Genomic DNA, 25,884 nt, shown 5'->3' on the forward strand with positions numbered 1-25,884 from the left:
TTCTCTCATACAAGATTGTCTTGACTTTTATTGGGTCTTTAATTTTTTTCTGCATCTATTGTGATAATCGTGACTTTTTCTTCTCCTTTATTCTGCTACATTAGTGAATGAATTGACTGATTTCTCTAACGTTAGCCAACCTTGCACTCATACAAGAAACTCTACTTGGTTATGATATTCATTTTATATATCACATAATCTGATATGTCAATATCTTACTTAAGATTTACATATATTATATATATATTTACGACAGAAAATTTGCGTAACTTTTCTTTCTTGAAAGTTCTTCGTCAGACTTTGGTAACAAGGTTATGCTGGTCTCATAAAACTAGTTGAGAAATATCTTTTTGTCCTTATTCTCTGGAAGACATGTTTTTACATTGATTCCTTAAATCTTTGAACAGATCACTTTGGCCTGGAATTTTCTCTTTGGGAAGGTTTTAAATTGCAATTCAATTCTTAGCATGTATTTATATAGATTTTCTACTCATTGCCAAAAAGTTGTTCAAAATACCCTCTCGTTATCTGAAATTTCTGTAGCCATGTCCCCTTATATATTTGTTATATTTATTATTTCACACTTTTTTCTTCATTCACTTTGCCAGGGGTTTAACTATGTCATTTGTTTTTTCAAAGAGCCACCTTATGCATTTTTTCTTCATTACTGAACAATTACTTTCATTTCAGTACTTTCTGCTTTTTGTTATTTACTTCCTTTGAATTTAATCTGATGTTTACTTTTACTAATACCTGGAGAAGAATACTTATATTGTCGATCGGCAGAGTTTTGCTTCTTTTCTAATAACGTCTTTATGGGCTATACATTTTACTCTATGTATGGCTTTAGTTTTATATGTAGTATTTTCATTATCTTTCAGTTCAAACCATTTTCTAAATATCCATTGTAATTCCTTCAATGATCCACGTGTTATTTAAAATTATATTGCTTAATTTCCAAACACATGGGCCCTTTTTTGGTTATACTTTCTGTTACAGATTTCTAGCTTAATTATGTTAGGTTCAGAAAATATACTCTGTGCCATTTCAGCCTCTTGAGATTTGTTGAGACTTACTTTCTGCCCAAGTATATGGTTAGTGTTGCACATGAAAAGAATGTGTATTCTGTAATTGTTGAGTGCTAAATTCTCTATGTATCAATTAAGTCAAGTTGTGAATCATGTGTTCTAACTTTCCATGTTACCCGATTTTCTTTTGGTTTATCAGTTACTAACAGAGATGTGTTTAAATTCTCTGCCGTGATTGTAGATTTGTTTATTGTTCCTAGTGTTTATCTCAGTGCTTTTAAAAAAATATGTTAGATGCTCACAAATATGAAATTGTTTAATCCTCATGGTAAACTAAATGTTTTACCACTATGAATTGTTCTTCCTTTTCTCTAGTTATTTTAGTAAAATTATTTCACCTTTCTTTTGGTTAGTGTTTGAAATGTTCCCTCTCACTCTTTTATGTTCAACCTATCTGTATCTTTGAATTTAAACTCTCTTGTAAGTAGCTTAGTCATTGTTTTCTTTTAGTTGAAGTTTTTCGTACATAATGGAAGTATTTGGTACATATAACTTAATGTGATTACAGATATATTTAGTATCAAATCTACTATTTTATTCTATCTGTCATTGTTGTATGTCCCCTTTGCTCTTCTCTCATGCGGTACATATAACTTAATGTGATTACAGATATATTTAGTATCAAATCTACTATTTTATTCTACCTGTCATTGTTGTATGTCCCCTTTGCTCTTCTCTCATGCTTCCTGTGGGTTTTTTTTAATATTTCATTTTTTTACCTTCTGTTAATTTATTAGTATGCTGTCTTTTAGTATCACTTCACAATTTACTCCAGGAATTATAACCTGCATTCGTAACTTTTCAAACTCTAAAATAAATTAGTAATTTTATAGTTTCCTGAATAATGGAAGGACCTTATAAAACTTTAACTCCTTTTACTCCTCTCCTGCTTTTATGCTGTTCTTTTTTGAATTTTAAATCTGTTTATATTCAAAACAGTCTAAGACATAACTGTTGTGTTATGCAGTCAGATTTATTTAGGTTTACCCATATATTTACTCTTTCCACTGTTTTTCGTTCCTTATTGCATCTGTATCCTTCTCTGTGGGATTTATTTACCTTCTCTTTTGTAGTCTCTATAGTGTATATCTGCATTTAGTTTTACTGTGAAGAATACCTTGATTAGATATTGATTTCTAGGTTGGCAATTATTTTTCTTTGGCACTTTGAGGAAATATTTTGTTACACAGTTAACTATCAGTCTTATTTTGCTCTTTGAAGGAAGCACATCTAATTTCCTTCTAGGGTTACTTCAGATTTAAGATTTTCTTTTTGAGTTTCATTTTTAGCAGTTTTATGATATGCTCAGATGTTGTTTTATTTCTAAATAATAATATGGTTATCTTTGCATATAACTTGCTTGGAGTTTGTAATGCTTGTTTTGAATGTGACTTCATAGCTTTAATCAATTTTGGAAAATTCTGTGCCTTTGTGTCTTTAAGCATGGCGCTTTCCATATTTGACTCTTTCCTCTCCTGGGATTCCAGTTGAATTCATGCACCACCTTTTCACTATTACATTATTATGCTATTTTTGTATTTTCCATCCTTTGTCTCTTTGTGATCCAGTCTGGATATTTACTCTTGCCCTGTATTACATACAGTTAACAAATTCTCTCTTCAGTTGTGTCTAATCTCCTAATAAGCCTAACCAGCAAGTTTTTATTTCAGTTATTGTATTTTTAAATTTTAGAATCTTAATTAAGACCTACTAGTTGTCTGTTCATATTTTATTTTCATTTAATCTTTTGAATATAGTTATCAAAGTAATGACACAGTTTGTGTTAAGTAACTTAGCTAGGTCTCAGATTAGTCTGTTTTTATTGTTCTTGTTTTCCCTTGAATTTTGGTGAATTCTGGTCTTTTGCAGGCTAGTTGGCTTTGATTAAATACGAGGTATTGTATACAAATAATTGTAGATATAATTTGACATTTGGGATGATGTTATTGTCCCTCAAAAAGGATATGCTTTTTCTCCCCCCGGCATGTAAGTTAGGCAGGAACAGATCACATTAATGCAATTAGGAGTTGAGCTGATTCAAGGCTGAATTTGTACAGCTGCGAGAGCTCCTCTAATTTTCATTTTATTCTCAATCCTAGGGTATACCCTTTGAGAACCTCAACTAAATTCTTGCGTATTTACCAGGGCATCTTTACCTTGGCGGGCTTCGAACTCGTTTTTTCCCTCCCCGTCTTCATGAGATAACAGGAGTTATGCATAGCTTCTTAGTCTGTCCAAGTTTAGAATTGGAAAACACCTCAAGAAGAAAAGCGGCACCAATGATAAGACTTCTCTTCTCTGTGGGCTTCCTTTCTCTCTGGGTTATTGATTCCTCACTTCTTTCTGCCTTGGCAGTTCTCTAATACCTTTAAACAGATCTTAAAACATTTTTATACACTGTTTTTTTTCCTAGTTTTGCTTGTTTGTACTATTGGACTTACAGGCTAGCTAGCCTGCCATTTTGTTTTAACCATGTCTCAAATTAATCATTATTAATTTTTTTCAGTAAATGCTTATTATAATTACCTATGTGTGTGTCCATATCTTTGCACACCACTGCCCTTTAAAACATTTTGAGATATATTATACCTTAAAAGAATGCATAAAATGTATCTTGTAGGTATTTTCACACGTTTGTACATATGCATGCATACATTTGTTCACCATATGACAAATCACCATATTGTACACTTATGGTTTGAATACTTTTCTGTATATGTTGTATTTCAATTAAATATTTTAGATTAAAAATCTATATAATTTAAAGAGTAAGAATAAATAGCGTTGTACTTATTACTAAAGTTAAAATAATTTATAGTATCTTAAATGCTTCCAGTGTGCCTCTCACCAATTGTATTTCCCTCTCCTGTCACTTCCAACAGGGGTAACAGGTATCCTAAACTTGAGGCTTATGAGGATTTTCTATTTTTTTATATACACATAGCTAAAATATACATTATTTTGCTTCCCTGGTATTGAACCTTATATAAATGGGATTATACAATATTTTATTCTTCTGTGACTTGCTTCCTTTGCTCCCATTATGTTTCTGAGATTTAGAGATGCTGATGTGTGGCAGTAATTCATTGCCCCGTGTTATCCCAATGCATGAATACATCATCATATATTCACCCATTCTACTTCTGTGCACATTTGTTTTCCCACAGGTTTTTGCTATTGTGTACAACGTAGCTATAAACATATTTGTATGTATCACCTGGTTATATGTACAAAATTTTTTCTAGGACATATAACCAAATATAGAATAGCTGAGTCACGGGATATGTGCACATAATGCGGAAAATTGGTTTCTAGAATATTTACATCAACTTAAATTTCCACTAAAAGTAAATGAGAGCTTCTGTTGGCCCTATTTTTCTTCCCATTCATTTATCAATTACTGATAGAGAAGTGTTTAGATAAACTGCTATACTGGTAGATTTATCAATTTATCTTGAAGCTTGGTCATTTTTGCTGCGGTTATTTGGAGATGGCATTCTTAGGTATGTACAAGTTTCAAATTGTTAAATTTTCTAGCGAATTGATCTTTCTGTCATTACCAAAAGACTTACTGTTCTCCCACCCCACCTTTTGTGAATACAATGAAATCAGCTTTCTTTTACTTAGTATTTGCCTTAGTATTTGCCTCTTTCCCTTACCATGTCCTTATGTTTTAGATGTGTCTATTGTCAACAGTATAGAGCAGAGTTTTATAAATGTATGTGTTTTAAATCCAACTGGCAGTGTTTGTTTCTTAATTGAAACATTTAACAATATTTATAAGTACTGACATATTTATATTTATTTATATAGGTAAATTAAGTAAATTATTTACTTTGTTCTACTTTTTTGTTTCTTTTTTATTTCATACCTTCTTGTACCGTTTTTCTCATTCCATTGTCCCTACCTTTTGGAGACAATAAGCTAAATTTTTTGTTTGTTTGTTTTACTTATTATCCCAATTATTTTAACATTATTTTTCTTTTCTTTTTCTTGAGACAGAGTCTCACTCTGTCACCCAGGCTGGAGTGCAGTGGTGCAATGTCGGCTCACTGCAACCTCCGCCTCCCGGGTCCAAGCGATTCTCCTGCCTCAGCCTCCTGAGCAGCTGGGATTACAGGTACCCACCACCATGCCCGGTTAATTTTTTTTTGTATTTTTAGTAGAGACGGGGTTTCACCATGTTGGTCGGGCTGGTCTCGAACTCCTAACCTCGTGATCCGTCCACCTTGGCCTCCCAAAGTGGTGGGATTGCAGGCGTAAGCCACTGCGCCCGGCCTTAACATTCTTTCTTAAGAAAATATAGAAGCAATCAAAATTTATCCTTTTGAAACAAGACAAGGACCTTAGAAAACTCTAATGTGATTATCTTTCCTAAGGTATGTTATTTCTGTCAAGTGTTCTGATTTTACCTATTTCCCCACACAAGCACAAATTGGATGTTATAGTTATACCATCTCCAATCTTGGACCTTGAATATGGGACCATTTCCATTTGTCTAAAATATATGGTTTGAATTTTATTTTAGATAGGGTCTTTTTGAAGTAAACTCTCTCAGTCCTGTTTGAAAATGTTTTCATTTGGTTGTTTCTCCCAAAATACATGTTTGTTTGGTATAGTTGTTTTTTCACTTAGCAGATTGACAATATTATTCCAGTGTCTTCTAGCTTACATTGTTGCTACTCAGGTGGTAGCTATCTGTCTAATTACTCTGGCTTTGTAGGTTATCTGTCTTTCCTGTCTGGTTGATTTTAAGATTTTCCCCCTTTTACGGTGTTCTACAGCTTCACTATGATGTGTCTCGATATATGTTTAATTTTACATATTCTGTAGAGCTTCACTGGGCTTTCCAGATTAGAGAACTGGTGTTCTCTTGTTAACCACATTTTGAACGTTTTCAGCCATTGTGTTTTTGAATATTGCCTTTTCTACTTTCTACTATCTCCTTCTGGATTACCAGTTAGATCTCTTATTCAAACTTTCACTCTTTCATGTATTTTAACCTGTCACATTTTCCAACTTTGATCATTTTAGGCCACATTTTGTGCCATTTGCTTAGATCCATATATCATTTATGTTTTATTGATATATAATAGTTGTATATATTTTGGGGGTACATGTGATATTTTGATAGCTGTATACACTGTCTAATGATCACATCAGGGTGACTGGGATATGCACCACCTCAAATATTTGTCTTTTGTGTTGGGAACATAAACCTTCTAGCTATTTTGAAATATACAACAAATTAGTTCTTTTATCTAGCTGTATTTTTGCACCCCTTAACTTCTCTTCATCCTTTTCTCCCCCTTTCCCTTCACAGCCTTTGGCAACTACCATTCTATTCTTTACCTCCATGAGATTCACTGTTTTAGCACCCATATATGAGTGAGAACATGTGCTATCCATGTGATATTTGTCTTTCTGTGACTGGTTTATTTCACTTAAATTAATGTCCTCCTGTTCCATCCATGTTGCTGCAAACGTCAGGACTTCATTTTTGTGGCTGAATAATATTCCATTATGTATACACACATTTTCTTTATCCACTCATCTGTAGATGGGGGCATTTAGGTTGATTTCACATCTTAGCTATTGTGTAGTGTTGCAATAAACATGGGAGTACAGATATCTCCTCGATATACTGATTTCCTTTCTTTTCATATATACCCAGCAGTGAGATTGCTGGATCATATGGTAGTTCTATTTTTAGTTTTTTTTGACAAAACTCCATGCTGTCTTCCACAATGGCTATACTTAGGTCTATGTTTTTATTCAATATCTTTTATTTTCATTTAGTTCATATCTGTTGTTGATACAAAATTCACTTCAATTTTTAATTATTTTACTTAAAATGTTCTATTTGAATCTTGGCCAAATTTGCTTAACAACAACAACAAAAAAAAACAACAAAAAAAACAAGGTCTTGCTCTGTTATCCAGGCTGGAGTGCAGTGGCTTGATCATAGCTCACTGCAGCCTCGACCTCCCAGATTCAAGCAATCCTCCCACCTCAGCCTCCCAAGTATCTGGGACCACAGGTGCATGCCACCACGCCAGGCTTATTTTAAAAATTTTTAGTAGAGGTGGGGTCTCACCATGTTGCCCAGGCTGGTCTCAAACTCCAAGTTCAAGTGATCCTCCAGGCTTGGCCTCCCAAAGTGCTGGGATTAGAGGCATGAGCCACTGTGCCTGACTGCTTAATTTTTTTTTTTTTTAGTTTGTATATTGCTCATATTTCTGAGCTTTTTTCTTTAATAAGATTAAATATTGCTCTTTTATATTCTGTATTGATAATTTCGATATCTGAAAGTTTTTTAGATCTGTTTCTATTGCTTGTGTTTTGTTGGTTCTCATCCATTATGCCTTGTTTCCTCATGGATTTTGTAATTTATTTTAACTGTGAGTTCCTCTTTTTTCTTTGAAACTTTATGGGAATTCTTTGTAGTAGGTTGAAATAGGCCTTTTCCAAAGTAGATTAAATATACACAAGGTACATAAACAGATGTATAATTGCTAAGACATATGATAATCTCCTGTAGTTCACTAGCTATTGCCATATTATCCTCCAAAGTGTTTATACCAACTTACGCTTTCCCCCATAAGTATATGAAAGTTTCTATTCTCCACATTTCAGATGCCCGGTATTATTTGATTATCCTTTATAACTGCTCATCTGGTAATTAGGGAGTTATATCTCATTTCTGTTTTATTTGCAATTCCATGATGGTCAGTGAGGCTAAGTATCTTTTCACATATTAAACGGTCATACAGATTTTCTCACTTGTGAATTTTCTCTCCAATCCTCTACCAGGTTTATAACTTATTCTGTAATGATGTTAGGAATTTTAAAAAGATATTCTTGAAAATATTTATTTATTGGTCATATGTACTGCAAATATCTCCTGGGTTTAAATTTTATTACTTCTTTTGTCATTTTACAAATTTTAATTTTAACATGGATTTTATCCACTTTTTTAATTTATAGGATATGTAATATAGGATTTTGTATCTTAAGTAGTTCTTCATTATCATGTCATAATGTTTTGCCTTTCTTATTTAGGACTTGAATCCAACTGGAAAACATTTTATGATGGGAGCTATAGTGACTTGATTTTATTTTCATGAAGATATGAAAGCATACTCTATATAAGCATTTCTTTGAAAGTCATCTACGTAAAACATTAACCTCTCTCGCTCGCTCTGTGTGTGTGTGTGTGTGTGTGTGTAGGCCTTTTATTCTATTCCATTAACGTTTGTCTAGCACTTTGTCACTATCATCGAGTTTTGATTAATAGATGTTTATGTAATCAGCCTTGACACATGGCAAGGGAGAAAGGAATCTGATCTTATTCTTACTCTTTTATTTTTCCAAATTGTTTTTTCTAGGTCCTTTCCTTTTCCATATGAATTTCAGCTAACTTGCCAAATTCTCAGGACTTTGTTAAAATTACACTGAATTTATAGATTACTCTGAGGCAAAAAAACAAAATCTATTCAATATTGAATTTTACCACCATAAAACATGGTATGGGTTTCCATTCAATCATATCATCCTTTATATTGTTGAATTACATTTTAAAGACTCTAGAAACATTATTATACAAAATTTGGTGGAGCTATTTCTTGTCTTTTTAAAAATGTAATTGTTATCTTGGATGAAATATTTATTGATATTTTCTATTTTAATGAACTATGGCGATGCCATAGATTTTTGTGGCTAATCTTATATACAGAAGCCTTGCTGTTGGTGTTAAGAGTTTTAGAAATGTCTTAAATTTTCATGTAGCCAATCATATTATTTATGATAAACAATTCTGCCTTTTTATTTTCAGAGTTTATCCCTCTTACTTCTAGAGCAATTGAATTGGCTAAGATCTTCATTACAATGATAAGTGTTAAGGATCATAGTAAAAATAGTTATGACAACTCTAAAATTTTAATGTTAGCTATAATATTTACTATAAGAGTTAAAGTTTACAACAAAGGATTTTGAATATTATTGAATTATTTTTCCCTACTTTTATTGGGATGATTCTTTTCTACTTTAATTTTTTATTAAAAGATTATATTTCATTATATTCAAGATTTTAAAACCTGAACTATTCTTGAATTTGGGGAATACACACTCCTTTACTTGTTCATTATACATTTTAATACATAGCTGAATTATATTTTGTAATAAATTATCTGTATTTTTGCATCTATGTTCAGTTATATTTGCTTATAATATCCTTAAATTGTACTGAAATTTTCTGTTTTAATATATTTCTGGTTTAATATATTTTATTATATTTTATAAAAATAATTGAATATATTTACCTTTTATATTTTTGCAAGTGCTTGTATAAGATGAATATCTTTTCCTGTGAAACTGCAACTGATACCTTGCATGGGGATGAGGAATAGTTTTGATTTCTTATTTAATTTTTAAAAAATTGTTGATTTGATTAGGTTTTGTCTTCATTAACCAATTTTGTAACATGCTTTTTAAGAAAATTATTTTGTTCTAAGTTTAAAAATGTATTGGCATAAAATTGTTTATGATTCTCTTATTTTTAAAATCCCCACTCTAACTATAGTTGCATCCCCCTATAAGAATCTGTACAAATTCTTTCTTACTTTTTAAAAATTTCAGTCTTTTTTTTTTTATTGAATGAGCCTGCTATGGGCTTGTCCATTTCATTCAGTTTTTAAAAGTACCAAGTCTGGGTTATATTATTTCTCTTTTTATCCCTATTGTATTTTAAATATATATTTTGCTTTTGTTGTCATCATTTCCTTCCTATTTCTTCCTTTAAGTTTGCTACATATTTTTCTCTTAAGTTTGAATTCTTATTTTTTTTTTCTGGTACCTAATAATAGCACAGTATTAGCTTTATTGTATTAACTAATATCATCATCATCATCATCACTATTTTTTTTTCCGTATCATGCCAACTGAATTCTTATTTTTAAAAACCTAAACAATCAGCCATAAAAAAGAATGAGTTCCTGTCCTTTGCAGGGACGTGGATGAAGCTGGAAACCATCATTCTCAGCAAACTAACACAGGAACAGAAAACCAAACACCGCGTGTTCTCACTCATAAGTGGGAGCTGAACAACGAGAGCACATGGACACAGGGAGGGGAACATCATACACCGGGGCCTGTCGGGGGGTGGGGGACAAGAGGAGGGAGAGCATTAGGACAAATACCTAATGCACGCAGGGCTTAAAACCTAGATGATGGCTTGATAGGTGCAGGAAACCACCATGGCACATGTATACCTATGTAACAAACCTGCACGTTCTGCACATGTATCCCAGAACCTAAAGTATAATAAAAAAAAAATAAGCACATATTTATAGCACATAAAGCTATAAATTTACCTCTGAGTATTGCTTTGTTTGCCTTTCACAAGTGTTACTATGGAGGATTTTCACTGTCTTTTTGTATACTTACAGTTTTTTAAAAATTCGGACTCACTCTTAATTCACGTATTACTTAGAAGTGCCTATTTCAGTTTCCAAATTTGTATGTCTTTTGTGTGACTACCATTTTCTTGTTAGTTTAAATTTAAGTGACTTGTAGTTAGAGAATTTTGTTTGTCTTATATAATTTGGGGGAGGATTTCTTAAGATTTATTTTGTCTTCAGATGTTTAATGTGTTTTAGAAACAATTTATAGCCCTTTATAGTGGATGCAGGGTTATATATACACATATATACACACACACATATATACATAACTACACACATATATATATATACATAAGTACACATATATACATGATGTATATATGTACACACACATATACATCGATGTATATATGTACACACACATATACATCGATGTATATATCTACACACATACATATCTACATCGATGTATATATGTACACATATACATATATACATATATATTAGATTGAGCTTGAAATTTTTAAATATGCTATACGTTTATTCATTTTGTTTTTCATCTGTTCATTTCTAATAGTTATGTTAAATATTCTGATATGATTGTAGATTTATTTTGCTTCACATTCTATTCAGAATTTCTGTGTGTTTTTAGTTGAGGGGTGGATATTAGCTTAATGCCATGTTGCCAAATCTGAACAAGATCATTTATCCTTTCAGAAGATACAGAAATGAAGATCTCAATAATCCTTAGAAATCACACATTCTGTTAGGTAAAAAGAGAGAGGTTAACACTTGGTCCTAGACTCTAGTTGTTACAGTTGGAAAGGATCTTATAGATTCTTCAATTTCCAGTTATCTTCTAATTTCTCTATGTTAAAGTACTGCTCCCCTCAAATGAATAATAGATTCAAACCTTGGCTCTTTGACTTATTTTTATGCAAGATATTGAGACAAAGAGATATTTTCCTTAGGAACTACAAAATTACTATTTTTATTAATTGTAAAATACCATAAAGACATTTTCAAATAATAGTCCGTTTTTAATCCATTAGAAAAAACTAAAGGGGAAGGAGAATAAAGCAAGTTTATTTCAGAGATTTAGTTAAGAGAGGGAGAGAGGCACAGAGATAGCACAAGACAGACACAGAGAGACAGAGGGAATGTGCTCACCTAATAGTCCCAGGGTCAAAAGAAAGTTACTACTCATTTAAATCTGCCGGTTTTACCTACCTCTATTGTATTATAGTATGAAAAAAGATCTTCCTACTGACCCTAGTGAAAATCCTAAATGATCAATGATTCAATTACATTCCCTTTGCTCAACTTACTAAGAAAATATCTAACAATTAGAATTAGAGTAAGGGGAGACTAGATTTAAATTTTAATTAGTAGGAAAATTAAATTAACTAAATCCTCCATTCTCAAAGTACTTTGGAGAATTGAGATTTTACTGCAATAAATAAAATTCTGACTGGATTTTTACTGAATAGGAAATTTCTCCTTGTGCTCTCATTCAAAGCTCGGTATAAATGCTATTTAGCATGTGTTTTTAATTTTTCAAAGACATATCTAATAAAAAGCAGCTATGAAGAATGCCTTTGCTTCATCTTTTTATCAAGTGATTTTGTTCAAGAAATTCTGTGTATCTGGTGTTCTGCTAGGATACACAAACACACACACATATATGTAAATATGTGTATATATGCATAAGCTTTATACATATATTCAATAATCTTAAACTGTGCCCTCAAGTCAAAATCTAAAATATTTAGTCAAACAGCAACGGGCTTCAGCATTTGCATGTCCCTTAAAACCATAGGTTTCAAAAGAAGTTTTTGCCTCTAAAGAGAAGAATCAAAACAATAATGACAAAAGAAACATAAAATATTTTGTAGACGGAGTTACAAATTAAAAAGCATTCCTGTCTTATCATTTACCTTCAAAAAGTGCTTTTCAAGTGTTTCCTTTCCAGAGCTACAGATGGTCTTTGCCATTTAGCATCCTGATCCCTGTTAGAAGAAGCCAATTAATATCATATCCCTATACTTCTAATCAAGGCTGCCCTAATAGTGTTCTGCTGAGTGAACTGTTGCTGATTAACTGAAAATTAGTGAGTGAAGCTAACGATTTTCTCTCTAGACCCTGTGGACCCATAAAAATGTTCATTTGAATTAAGGATAGTTAATTATGGTGTATGATTTGCCAGTAGACTGAACTTACTGAGTCCCTGTGAGGAGCCCAGGTTGGGGTGGTTGATTTGATGCAGGCTGGCAAATCTCTCTTTCAAAGTCTGCTGTTTTCCTCTTAGCTCATTTCTCTTCCAGGCATTTCCAGGAGATATGTCTGGCAGCTCGTTCACTCAGCTTACAAGAAAAAAACTCCCCAGTGTATCACGAGGGGAAGAGCAAAATATGAACCTTTCGTCACTGGCAAAGTGTTCCTTGGTGAGCAGCACAATTTCTGGGGGTTGACAAAGATCATTTTAATTTTAATGTGCTTTTAAGCTACTGAAACACATTGCAATCAACATGGATATGATGTATACGAGTATGCCGCCCAGGTTATGCTGCAGCTGTCACAGAACGATGAACAGATGTGAAGAAGATGCACTTTCAGACTGCTGGTCTTTCAAGGCCCCAAGAGAAACAAAAGATGGTTAGCAAGAATATTTGAGTAAGAGCAGTAAGGAAAATCTCTAATTCAGTGAGACAAAACATGGCTATGCAGTGAAATGTCAAAGAGAGAAAATGCAAACCTACTGAATGTGAGATATTGAAATTCAGGTTGCCTTTTTCCTCAGATTTCAAGCTACAGTTTTACACATGGTATTGTTTTGTAGCCATGTCATTTTGGTACTTCAATAATTAAGCCCCTGGAGGAAAATTTAAGATGGACTTGACTTTTACTATAAGGTATGAAGGCTGGCATACCTAAAATATATCTATCTTAGATTTATTTAGCATATTCTAAAAGAGACTGCCTAGGCTTTTCTTGCAATACTCATGTGCATGATAAAACAGGAGGGAAATATAATTTATAAGCCAAAAATCAATAGTCTCTTGTTAAAGGGACTTTGGTAATCTTCCATTTCTATTAACTAAACCTACCTTTTCTAGATATAGAGGGCTCTAGGGCCCTAGTGAAGTTTTCTCTAAGACCTCCCCTCTGGTTTATATTTGAGTTCAGTGCCTTGTACTAAAGAGATTGCCTATATAACAGAAACAAGAGTGAAACATCGAACCTTGTTTTGAGCTGAAGAAGATTAACTTTTTTATTTTTTAAAGATTTCCTCAAGTGAGGAATATGGAAGTTCAGAAATGGTTGCAGGTGTGAGCAAATTAGAAATTAGACAAGCCCAAAAACATAATTTCAAGAGCCTCTTAAAACCAATAATGCAATGTTTTCAATGATATGCAGAGATAATCATTGAACAAGAGGCACTCAGGATTAAAAAAGAAATAGCAGAGAAATTTGTTGAAATGTTTTTAAGGTTTTACCAAGGTAGATGTTGTGAGGCATCCAGGAATGGTTGAATTAACCACACTTTCAACTGACTGAGCTTGGTTGAAGCCCTAACATCCCCACTAATGATTGATTTGTGTATTTTGGTTGACTCACGTATCTTCTAGTCGGTTTGAGGAACTATTACATGCCAGTAGCTGATCTTTCTATAGATAAATAAATTAGTTTTAATTAATAAGGTCTGGCCAATAAGGTTTAAAATGAGAGCTGAGGAAGAGCATAGGTTCAATTTCATAGCCTTGCCTTTCTTTTGCTCTCCTTTATGTAGAAGGAGGTGTCTGGGTATTAGCTTTAAGGTGACTCCATCCCTCTTTTCTTACTTAGCAGGAATGACTACAAATTGAGTTAGGACACCACCATTAAAAAAAAAAAAAAAACAACAACAACCATAACCCCTAAAAGGTTTTGCTATTTGGCATAGGAAGTCCATTTGTATTATGTAGTTTAGTTCTGCTCATTGTTCCTGGAGGAAGATGTAAAAAAGACAGAAAAGTTCAAAAGAGTAGCAACTAAAATGATCAGGGGGCTTCCACAGTGTATTGGAATCAAGTAAAAGTCTTCAAAAGAATCATCAAACTTATAGATTCCTTCACACTCCAATGAGTTTATAAAGCTAGCATTTGTAGTTGACAATTACTATTTAAAGAGTGTTTTCATATATATAATCTTCCAGCAGCCTGGATAAAGACATCAAGGCAGGTATTATCTCTATTTTACAGAAGAAAAAATGGAGGTCTGAGAGATGCTACGACTTTTTCAAATTCTGACGGTCATTGGTAACTGGAAGAAGCCAGCCTTGTAACCTAATCTCATCCTTTTCCACTCTTCCAAATTGATTGGATTAACATATCCCCATTCAGTCTTGACAGGGAATAGCCAGAATGAATTTTCCCAGTCTCTGCTCTGTCTCTAATCATATGTTCCCTTTGACATGCAATTGATAGTGTATACTTCAATGTCTCTATTGTCTTGTTTCTAATCATTTCATGTGCTGTGGATGTACCTATCATCATTATATCTACCTTGAGATCAGAAGTCTTCAAAGAAAGATGGCGATTGTTATAAGCTTTGCTCAACAAAATTGTATTAAAATAATTTGAATGACCTTTCGTTGTTGGCGTCTGGGATGTTAGAGAGGATTTAAGTGGCCTGGATCAGGTGTCAGCAAGCTATGTTCCATGGGCCAAATCTACTTGCTGCCTACTTTTGTAAATAAAGTTTTATTGGAACACAGCCATGCTCATTTATGCATTGTCTAGGTCTGTGTTTGTACTACAGTGGCAGAGTTGGGTGGTTTTAACAGAAATGTACAGCCTGAAAAGCTTAAAATATTTACTATCTGACCATTTACAGAAAAAAAATTTACCAACCATAGGCCTAGACAATTAATTATATATAATTAGTCCCTGAAAAATGACTAAGGAACAAGCAATACAGAGTGTGTTGTCTTCTGTTTCTTTCTAGAAATTTGACATCTTGGGACCTGTTGTTATTTGAGGGAGAAATAGTGTTTTTTGGTAAAGAAAATAGGAGGTAGATAGAAGAAATTCCAAGAGCATTTCAGAAGGGGAGTTATATTTAGAAGCATTGTTCTTCCACAGTCAATCAAGGTAATGAAAGGGAGAATTGCCTGAGGTGAAGGTGTGAACTAGGGCATAACATTCTAGAAGTGTTTGTAAGAAGCTGATTGGTACCCAATATATTAAATAGTGAATTTACTAATGCCAATCAAACCCAAACTTTTTTGTTTAAAAATGATTTAAATTATTACAGTCTATTTATGTTTGCTTTTAGTAAGGAAAAGAGTAGTAGTAGATTTTATTACAGGAGTAAATTCTGAATCTTGGGACATGGATTCAACTAAAGTAGAAGTTACTTTTGATTGGTGTTTGCACAAATTGTTTTGCACCAGCTATTATAAAAACCAACTTTTAATATCCCATATTTTGAGATTTATGGAGGTGACTTTCCTTTTCTTTGGAGATGATGAATGTGTGCCGACTGGTATTGCTGTTTGATTATAGATGGCTAGCTGTGAGGAATGTGGAAATGATCTCAGCCATTTAAACCTCAAGGCAATCTCCCCATGTGACCTAAAAGGTGTGCATTTTATTTATGTAGCTATTTTACCTACTCACTCAGATTTCTATTGCACTTAGAAATTCCCAAGTGAAATGTCTACAGTTATTTTGTAAAAGTCTTGAAATAATATTCCCTTCCTTCTCATTCTCGCTCCCAGGAAATTTTTGCTTAAAGCAGCATTTGTGAAATAGCACATGGGAGGTGCCATAGTATGGGTGAAAGAGAACAGGCTTCAGACTCAGGCATACCTGGAAGGCCCTTTGAAAAGTCATGATGTGTTCAGGAAACTGAAAATGACTCACCGGGGCTGGATAGTAGTGCTTAGTTGGGTGTGTGAACAATGACATGTCTGCAGAGGTGATTAGGAGCCAGATAATGAAGGATATTGTGTTCCATGCGAAGGAACTGAACAGTTATCAAGGTAATATGGCACCTCTGAAGGGTTTTAAGACAAGAGTATAACACAGTAAAATTTATAATCGTGAAAAACACTCTGGAAGTAGGGTAGATGACGGACTGAAATGTAAAGAGAGTGAGGGTAGTTAGAGATTTGAAGGACTGGTGTCGAAACTGAGGTTTTCAAGGAATAATAAGGTCTGCAGCTGGGAGTGTGTCTATGAGGGTAGGTGGCTGAGTTTAGGAGATGTTTGTGTGGCCTAATGGATAGAACGTAGCAATATTAACAGATATGAGGGTGAGGGAAGAATGAATTTGGGGACTGAGTTGATTATAATAGTAAATTACAGAGGAGAAGAAAGATTAATGCCTATCTTACTATTGCATGCCCAGAACCTCACCCCACTAAGCAGAGTGTTTCTGTGTTTAGAATGTAACAATAGGAGAAAACAGAAGTAAAGAAAACAAAAATCTGGGTGCTAATGACGGTGACAGCAGGAAAAAGGAAGGATCTATAAAGATAGTACACATAGCTGCAAACACAGTTGCCAAGTACCAGCATGAAAAATTGAGACAACATGGTCTCCAAGGGCAGTGTCTATCTCTAGACGACTATGCCTATACAGAGTTTCCTTCTGTAAAGAGAATATCCACCGAGGTTCCCCAGAACCAAAACTTCAGACTAAGGTTTCAGCCCACATTTAGGAGGTAATTACCAGCAGGGAGTGGAGAAACAAGAAAGAAAAGCAAAAGTGGTCAATATGAAGTGTGTTAATGATTGGTTACCACTGTGGGAAACTAGGACTGAATCCTATTGAGAACCTCTGGGAAACTGGGTAGAACATGCCTCATCATTGTTCTACCTGAAGGGCAAGGAGCGTTGAGTATTCATCTACCAGTTCTACTTCGTCATTGATTACTGGGTTAACCAATGGTAACTTCCTGACACTTCCAACCAGCCCTGGGCTTTGGTCATGCATACTGCATTGGGCAAAAATTCCCTGAGACAGGGAGTTGTGGTTGTTGGAACTATGAATGCCAAAACGATATGAGCAGAGTTCTGACAGATACTCCTGCATATACACACACCCTAACATGGTTAGTACATCTATTGTACCTGTATTTTGAGTTTGAAATGGTAGAGTTTTACTTAAAATTAGACAAGTTACTTCTATGAAGCAGATTTTCCATCTTTTTTTAACCTATCTCTCTGTATAGACCTACTGGGATCTAGAAGATTCAAATTTCAAGGCTGTGTCCATTGTATATTGGTAACATTAGTAAATGGTGATCTATGGTGATGGAATCTTTTGAACAACTGCTGAAACTATAAAGACAGGTATAAAAAGTCAAATGAAACTGTTAAAGCAACTCAGATGTATCTGGAGAAAGAACACATTCTGTACTCCAAAATGTTACCATTTCCTAAAATTACACTACCAAGATCTGTGAGTTACACATAATATAAATATTTAGTTGTTGATTTCAAAAGAAAAGAAAATGAATACACCAGTATACAAGATGCTTAAGACCTAGTAAAGTAGCCCTCCCAACTCTTTATTTGAAAGTGAAAATAAGAAATTAAATGGAAAGATGAGTTGAAAGAGAACAAGGATATGGAGAGTCATATATAAGATGGAAGAATTGGATTGACTGATGAGTTACCTGGAAATGAGAAAAAAAGCATTAAGCTCAACTTATGGCAATCCAGTGAAGTATGTTTCCGTTTTTAGTATTTTACTTTATCTCTTCTAGTTCCCTCTTTAAATGCAAAGACACTGGAAATGAGTTGGTAAGTAAGTCATTCCTACTAGGGTATGCTAACTTGTAGCCCTGTTTGTTTCTGCCACTCACTGGCTATATAGCCTTGGGTAAGTTACTTAACCTCTCTGTATCTCAGTTTCCTTATTTGGAAAAATTGGTGATAATAATTGTACCTACCTCATAGGTTATGAGGATGAATACATTTGCATATGAAAATTACTTACAGTGCTTGACACATAATAAGAAATACATTCATCTCTTCTGGATAATAAGCAAAATGAATTCAAATTGTTATAGCTTATGGAATTTGACATAAATCACACAGAAGTGTATCACAGTGTTATTTTTAATGATTTTTAACATTCAAAATAATTGATAAAAAAATTTGGCATTCCAGAGCCAAAACAAAAAGCAATGGTGGGAGTTACAGTTCTAACAGAAGGAAGTTTTAGTTATTAGAGCTGTCAAACAATGAAATAGATTGCCTTTGAAGTCATGTGTTGGATGACATGGGAAATATGTAACAGACTGGATGACTGCTTCTTACTGATGCTGGAGAGGAGGTTTGTGCATCAGAGAAAAGGTGTAAGTAAATGACCCTTTCAGGTCTTTCTAATTTTCAGTCAATGATTTCACAATTTGGCTCTAAGCCCTCTTTCTAATATTATATCTTATTGTTTCCTCATGCAAATCCTCTGCCTTAGACACCCAAGCACACTCATAAACACTTAACAAGTTTCATGCTTTCTCACCATTTGAATTTTCTGCCACTTTCTCCACTTTGTCTTTATCTTTACAGTATAGGCCAAACATTTTGAAAGTAAAAGTCTTAGTAAAAGTTATAAAGTATATGGTATATTAAAGCTTAATTTCCATGTACAATATTATTAGGACTTGGTTTTTCATAGCTATGCTATGCTTGAACCTGAAATACTTAAATGAATACATATGAAAGATGAAAAGATGAGTTACCTCCCCACCCATACATACTCATTTAGAAAGGGATAATCTGTGTGGGCTAACACACTTGAATTAGTAAAAATATCTCCAATCTTTTAGATTTTTTACTTATATTACAATTCACTTCTGAAGATGTGTAGACTTCAACATTAAAATTAAATAAGAAATAAAAGGATGTCTTTATACAATGCTTCGTCAAAAATATATATGTTAATACTTCCTTATGGAGGAAAGATTTCTGGGAGAAACGAAGGCAAGGGAATGAGCTGCTGGTGATTAGTTGGTTTAATAGTTTTACATATTTGTCGTCAGAATCCTTTAAACCAAAGCTTGGTGGGAGGCACAGTTTGAAAACTTAGAGTTGCTTTAATTAAGGAGGTGGTGGGAGAAAAGAAGATCCTGCCTGGAAGACTAAGAAGGTAATGGGAGTGCTCTTTAAAGCTGTGCCAAAGAGGTTCACAATACCTTTTTGCCATGAGAATCAGGACCATTTTCCTGTCCCGAGGGCAGCATGGGCTTGTTCTCACAGTCATTCAGAAGGGCAAATGAGAAGTTTTGTGTGTGCCTATGAGCTAAATAATCATTTTCAACTAGCTTTGTGGATTACAACGTCATTTTGTGACACAACTTGAGACTCTACACTGACTCCTCCATGTGGATTTCAAAACCCCTAAATTATGCCCCACCATCTTGATTTCCTAGTATTTTATATAAACTCACATCAATTTTTCCCCAATATTTTATTACGCAGGACCTGAAGTTTTCCTGGGGAAAAAGTATTAGTGCTAAAATATGCATTTTTCTATTGGAAATAATAAAATAGTCCAAAGATATTTCCCCTTTTCCATAAAATTCCAAGGGAAACCCACTTAGAAAATTTAGAGTGTAATTGAAGAATTCTACTGAGCATACATGACATAAAGTTAAACAATACTTGGGTAGAAAAATGTTTGGAGATCCCTGTCAGGACATAATTTTTCTGTTATTTAATGAAAAAGATGACTTGCTATGGTTTTTAAATCTGCTTAAATGTGTTTCATTTGATCACATTAATATTTGTACAGTTATTTTTCCATTACTCATGAAACACTAAAAACACTAAGCAATAATTGCACATGCTTTTTCCTTTTATGACCATACATTTTCCCGGACAGGTCTTATAAATTCACATATGTTATCAAAAACTTTTTTTTTTGGAGATGAAGTTTCACTCTTGTCACCCAGGCTGGAGTGCAATGGTGCGATCTCGGTGCACTGCAACCTCCACCTCCTGGGTTCAAGAGATTATCCTGCCTCAGCCTCCCGAGTAGCTGGGATTACAAGCACCCACCACCACGCATGGCTAATTTTTGTTTTTAGTAGAGACAGGGTTTCACCATGTTGGCCAGGCTGGTCTCGAACACCTGACCTCAGGTGATCCACCCGCCTCGGCCTCCCATAGTGCTAGGATTGCAGGCATGAGACACCGTGCCTAGCCCAAAACTTTTTATGATATATTAATAATATGTTTGACAAAGCAAATACTTTCAGTGTAATTATTCACATTGACTGAAAGAATCCTTTACTACAGCCCTCTATCTTATTGCTCACATAGATGATTCATTAAAAATCTAGATATATAGATGGCTAGACATGAATGTGGTATGGTTCTCAGAGCATAAGGTCTCCTAGATGGAGTAACGGAGGAGCATAACCTCTCCGTTACTCAAGGACTACTCTTATGCCTCCATCTCTAACTCATGGGAGGAATAGGAACATTGAACAGAGATTTGGTGCCTTCCTTTACTCACAGCTTGTACACAACTCACTGTGATGGTGATGTGTTTAGCCTGTGAACCTATGTAACAGAACTCGACAGGCAAAAAAATAGTTTCCTTCCACATTAAAAAGCAAACAGTGCAGCCATAGAAAAGAACGAGATCATGTCTTTTGCAGGAACATGGATGGAGCTGAATGCTATTATCCTCAGCAAACTAATACAGGAAAAGAAAACCAAATACTACGTGTTCTCACTTATAAGTGGAAGCTAAATGATGAGAGCTTATGAACACAAAGAAGGAAACAACAGACACTGGGGGTCTACTTGAGAGTGGAGGGAGGGAGGAGGGAGAGGAGCAGAAGAGGTAACTATCGGGTACTGGGCTTAACCCCTGGGTGATAAAATAATTTGTATAACAAACCCCCATGACATGAGTTTTCCTATGTAACAAACCTTCACATGTACCCCCAAACCTAAAATGCTAAAAAAAAACCAAAAAACACCCCAAAACAAAAAAATCTTTACCCCCAAAACCAAATAAAAACCCCCCTTGTTTTATCTAAATCATTATTAAATGCAGTCCTTCCTTAAAATTTTTACATTTTGTTATATTTACATAACGATAAAATCATTTCCCACTTGATATAAGAACAAAAATCTGTTAATTCATTATATTATTAGAATAAGCAAATTAATTACTGCTAACATCAAATTCATTTTAATTTCCATGACCGTCATATAGAGTTCTATACATAGAGAGTGGAACTCCACAATGAAAACGTGCTTAACTCTTTTTATTTCCTCCTCACAGCATGTTCTGCTTTAATGACATATTGAGGGAATAAAATACATGGAATTTTATTCTAGTATCAAGTGAGATTTTAAAATATATGTGAAAATATTTGATAAATGCTTTTTTTCCTAATGGGTGCACTTAGAAATTATAGTTTTAGGTATATTTATATTTTGGCCATATAGTCTCTTAAATAAGTAAAACAAAGCATACTGTAACAAACTATTTTGGTCAAAACTCTAAACAGTATATAGACTTCAAAATAACTTACTCAAAATTCATGAGATTTAGATTTCATGCTCAACTTATCAGGAGGAAACACATCCAAAATAGAAGTGGGTTGACTCTATAACTTCTACTCAATGGCTATATCTACATAACTGTGAATTAAAACAAACAAAAAACAAAAGCTAGAAAACTGAAATTGGTTCTTAGTCATTATGTCTAGTTATGACAAATCGAGACACTATGAGATGATTTTCTCCTCCGGAAACCAGGCATTCAAAGACTTCCAGTGACTCAGGATGGGAGTGTACAGAAGAGAAAAGAGGAACGAAGAAAGCACTGATGCAAGAAGACACAATTCATCAATTCATAACCACACCCTGATCTCCACTACCATAGCATTACAGCCATGATCTCTTTCAGCCTTCTCTCTGCCACTATTGCCCTCAGTGCTGATTTTAATAGATTTTACCTCTTTAGGATGGTAGTGATGAGGAGGGATACTGAACTACCGTGATTTGCCGTGAATTTTCCTAGGAAGGGCCCCAGGGGTCTGCCATGTAAGCGTAACAACTCTTATGTGAGTGTATCTCACTTTATACACAAACACTGTAATAATTTAATGTTATACATTTCTCAACCTGATATTATTTCCCTTTGATTATTTAGGTTGCACCTACCTCATGAGAAAGATTTGGAGAAGGTGTGAAAACTTTATCCCAAATCTTAGATGCTCTATAAATGTCTTCCATTTTATAAAGGCTATCTGAAAGAGAAGCAAGGACAATTCCGAAAAATTCTTCAATTTTAGGTTTGGTCAAACCAACAATAAATACAAAGAAATGGCTTCATCTGAGTAACTGATACTTCCAAGACTTGGCCATTGCAGTCTTTTGTAGATTATATAATTTACTAGTTAGATTAAAAATTATGGCAGGAGGAAATCTTAGAATGCTTTGGCTACCTATCTACGGATACAAAACCATGGTGTATAATTCCAACCTTATTAAAGCATTAGAACATTGGTTTTTAACTCTCTATTGGATTAGGACCAGGTATACTGGCACAGCTCAGTAAAACCTAAGATTGGAAATAATTTGAAATCTCAAAGTCATTGTCACCTTACCCATTTCACCTGGCTAATTACTTCCTCTCCTTTCATACAACCCAACAAATATGTATTCACATTAGTGGGGAAAAGAAGCTCTCCCTATATTTACACAATGGAGTGATTTTTGCCCTTCTAATTAACCAGCATGAGTCAAACGTTTAAAAGGTTCCAGAAGAAACTGTGCCTTCAATTAACATTCACAGTTTCTAAATTAATCACTGCTGACCTTAACATGCAGGAGTCTTAAAGACATGTTTCACATTTAAAAAATGGTAATTTTATTCAAAGAAATCTAACTACCTATGTTTCATAAGTGTTTGGTCATTGTTTTTCTCCTATCACTGCATAAGGAGTCCTAGAGTTTGGAGCATTGTTTCATCACATCTCTGGATAAAAGCCCTACAAATGATCTTGAGCATGATAATGATATTGTCTTCAATATAAAAATTAATAGTGACTCATTATACACTTTGAAAAATCCATACCATGCTCACTTCAGCAGCATATATACTAAAATTGGAATGATACAGAGAAGACTAGCATGATCCCTGTGCAAGGATGACACACAAATTCATGAAGCATTCCATATTTTTCAATAAATGTCCCCATCGGCAAGTTAGAAAGATCTCAAATTAACAACCTAACATCACAACTAAAAGAACTGGAGAAGCAAGAGCAAACCAACCCCAAATCTAGCAGAAGACAAGAAATAACCAAAATCAGAGCAGAACTGAAGGAGACCGAGACACAAAAAGCCATCCAAAAGATCAAGGAATCCAAGAGCTGTTTTTTTTTAAATATTAATATAATTGATAGACTAGACTGCTAGCTAGACTATTAAAGGGATAAAAGAGAGAAGACCCAAATAAACACAATTAGAAACGACAAAGAGAATGTTACCACTGACCACATAGTAATACAAACAACCATCAGAGACTACTCTCAACGCCTCCATGCACACAAACCACAAAATCTAGAATAAATGGATAAATTCCTGGACACATACACCCTTCCAAGACTGAACCAAGAAGAAACTGAAGCCCTGAACAGACCAATAGCAAGTTCCAAAATTGATTCAGTAATGAACAGCCTACCAACCGAAAAATGCCCAGGACCGGAAGGATTCACAGCCAAATTCTACCAGATATACGAAGAGATAGTACCATTCCTACTGAAACTATTGCAAAAAAATTGATAAGGAGGGACTCCTCCCCAAATCATTCTATGATTCCAGCATCATCCTGATACCAAAACCTGTCAGAGAGACAATAAAAAAGAGAAAACTTCAGGCCAACATCCTTGATGAACACAGAGGCAAAAATCCTCAACAAAATACTTGTAAACCGAATCCAGCAGCACATCAAAAAGCTAATCCACCACAATGATGTAGGCTTTATCCTGGGATGCAAGGCTGGTTCAACACACACAAATCAATAAATGTGATTCATCACATAAACCAAACTAAAGATAAAAACCACATGATTACCTCAATAGATGCAGAAAAGGCTTTCAGTAAAATTCAACATCCTTTCATGTTAAAAACTTTTAATAAACTAGTTATTGAAGGAATATACCTCAAAATAATAAGAGCCATCTAGGAGAAACCCACAGCCAACATCATACTAACCAGGCAAAAGCTGGAAGTATTCCCCTTGAAAACTAGCAAAAGACAAGGATGCCCTTTCTCACCATTCCTGTTCAACATAGTATTGCAAGTCCTGGCCAGAGCAATCAGGCAAGCGAAAGAAATAAAGATCATTGAAACAGGAAGAGAGGAAGTCAAACCATCCCTGTGTGCAGACAACATGATTCTGTATCTAAAAAGTTTTCACAGTCTTGGCCCAAAAGCTCCTTGAACTGATAAACAACTTCAGCGAAGTTTCAGGATACAAAATTGATGTGCAAAAATCACTAACATTCCTATACACCAACAACAGCCAACCCGAGAGACAAATCAGGAACACAATCCCATTCACAATTGCCACAAAAAGAATAAAATACTTAACAATTCAGCTAACCAGAGAGGTAAAATATCTCCACAATGAGAATTACAAAACACTGCTCAAAGAAATCAGAGATGACACATACAAATGGAAAAACATTCCGTGCTCATGGATAGGAAGAATCACTATCATTAAAACAGCCACATTGCCAAAGCAATTTACAGGTTCAACGCTGTTCCTATCAAACTACCAATGACATTCTTCACAGAACTAGAAAAACTATTTTAAAATTCACATGGACCCAAAAAAGAGCCCAAATAGCAAAGGCAATCTTAAGCAAAAACAAAAAAGGAGGGGGCATAATATGACTCTACTTCAAACTATATTACAGGGCTACAGTAACCGAAACAGCAGGGTACTGGCACTGAAACAGACACACAGACAAAGGGGACAGAATAGAGAGAGCCCAGAAATAAGGCTGCACACTTACAGCTACCTGGTCTTCCACAAAACTGACAAAAACAAGCAATGGGGAAAGAATCACTATTAAACAAATGGTGCTGGCATAACTGGCTAGCGATACGCAGAAGACTGAAACTGGAACCCTTCCTTACACCATATACAAAAATCAACTCAAGATGGATTTAAGACTTAAATGTAAAACTCAAAACTATAAAAACCCTGGACGATAACCTAGGAAATATCATTCTGGATATAGGAACTGGCAAAGATTTCATGACAAAGATGACAAAAGCAATCGCAACAAAAGCAAAACTTGGCAAATGGGATTCAATTAAACTAACTTCTGCACAGCAAAAGAAACTATCAACAGAGTAAATA

General features: G+C 34.3%; 1 long non-coding RNA gene and 1 pseudogene across 1 annotated transcript in view, besides 2 other annotated features; one reads left to right on the plus strand and one right to left on the minus strand.

The window, feature by feature from the left end:
* PTCHD1-AS (PTCHD1 and PHEX antisense RNA) overlaps positions 1 to 25,884 on the minus strand; it is a 1,100,142-nt gene that overhangs the window by 311,243 nt on the left and 763,015 nt on the right. The window lies entirely within an intron of this gene.
* Positions 21,952 to 23,151: an enhancer, noted in NCBI's record as "P300/CBP strongly-dependent group 1 enhancer chrX:22544316-22545515 (GRCh37/hg19 assembly coordinates)". NCBI's record gives its function as "activates an origin of replication core promoter dependent on BRD2, BRD4, P300/CBP, MED14 and CDK7 cofactors, with strong dependence on P300/CBP, by STARR-seq in HCT116 cells {active_cell/tissue: HCT116}" and the evidence as "EXISTENCE:reporter gene assay evidence [ECO:0000049][PMID:35650434]".
* Positions 22,080 to 22,209: an enhancer, noted in NCBI's record as "active region_29489". NCBI's record gives its function as "activates an Ori minimal core promoter by ATAC-STARR-seq in GM12878 lymphoblastoid cells {active_cell/tissue: GM12878}" and the evidence as "EXISTENCE:reporter gene assay evidence [ECO:0000049][PMID:35858748]".
* RNU6-266P (RNA, U6 small nuclear 266, pseudogene) lies at positions 23,588 to 23,694 on the plus strand (annotated as a pseudogene).

This window comes from Homo sapiens, chromosome X (genome assembly GCF_000001405.40).
Source record: "Homo sapiens chromosome X, GRCh38.p14 Primary Assembly".
Taxonomy (NCBI): Eukaryota; Metazoa; Chordata; class Mammalia; order Primates; family Hominidae; genus Homo; species Homo sapiens.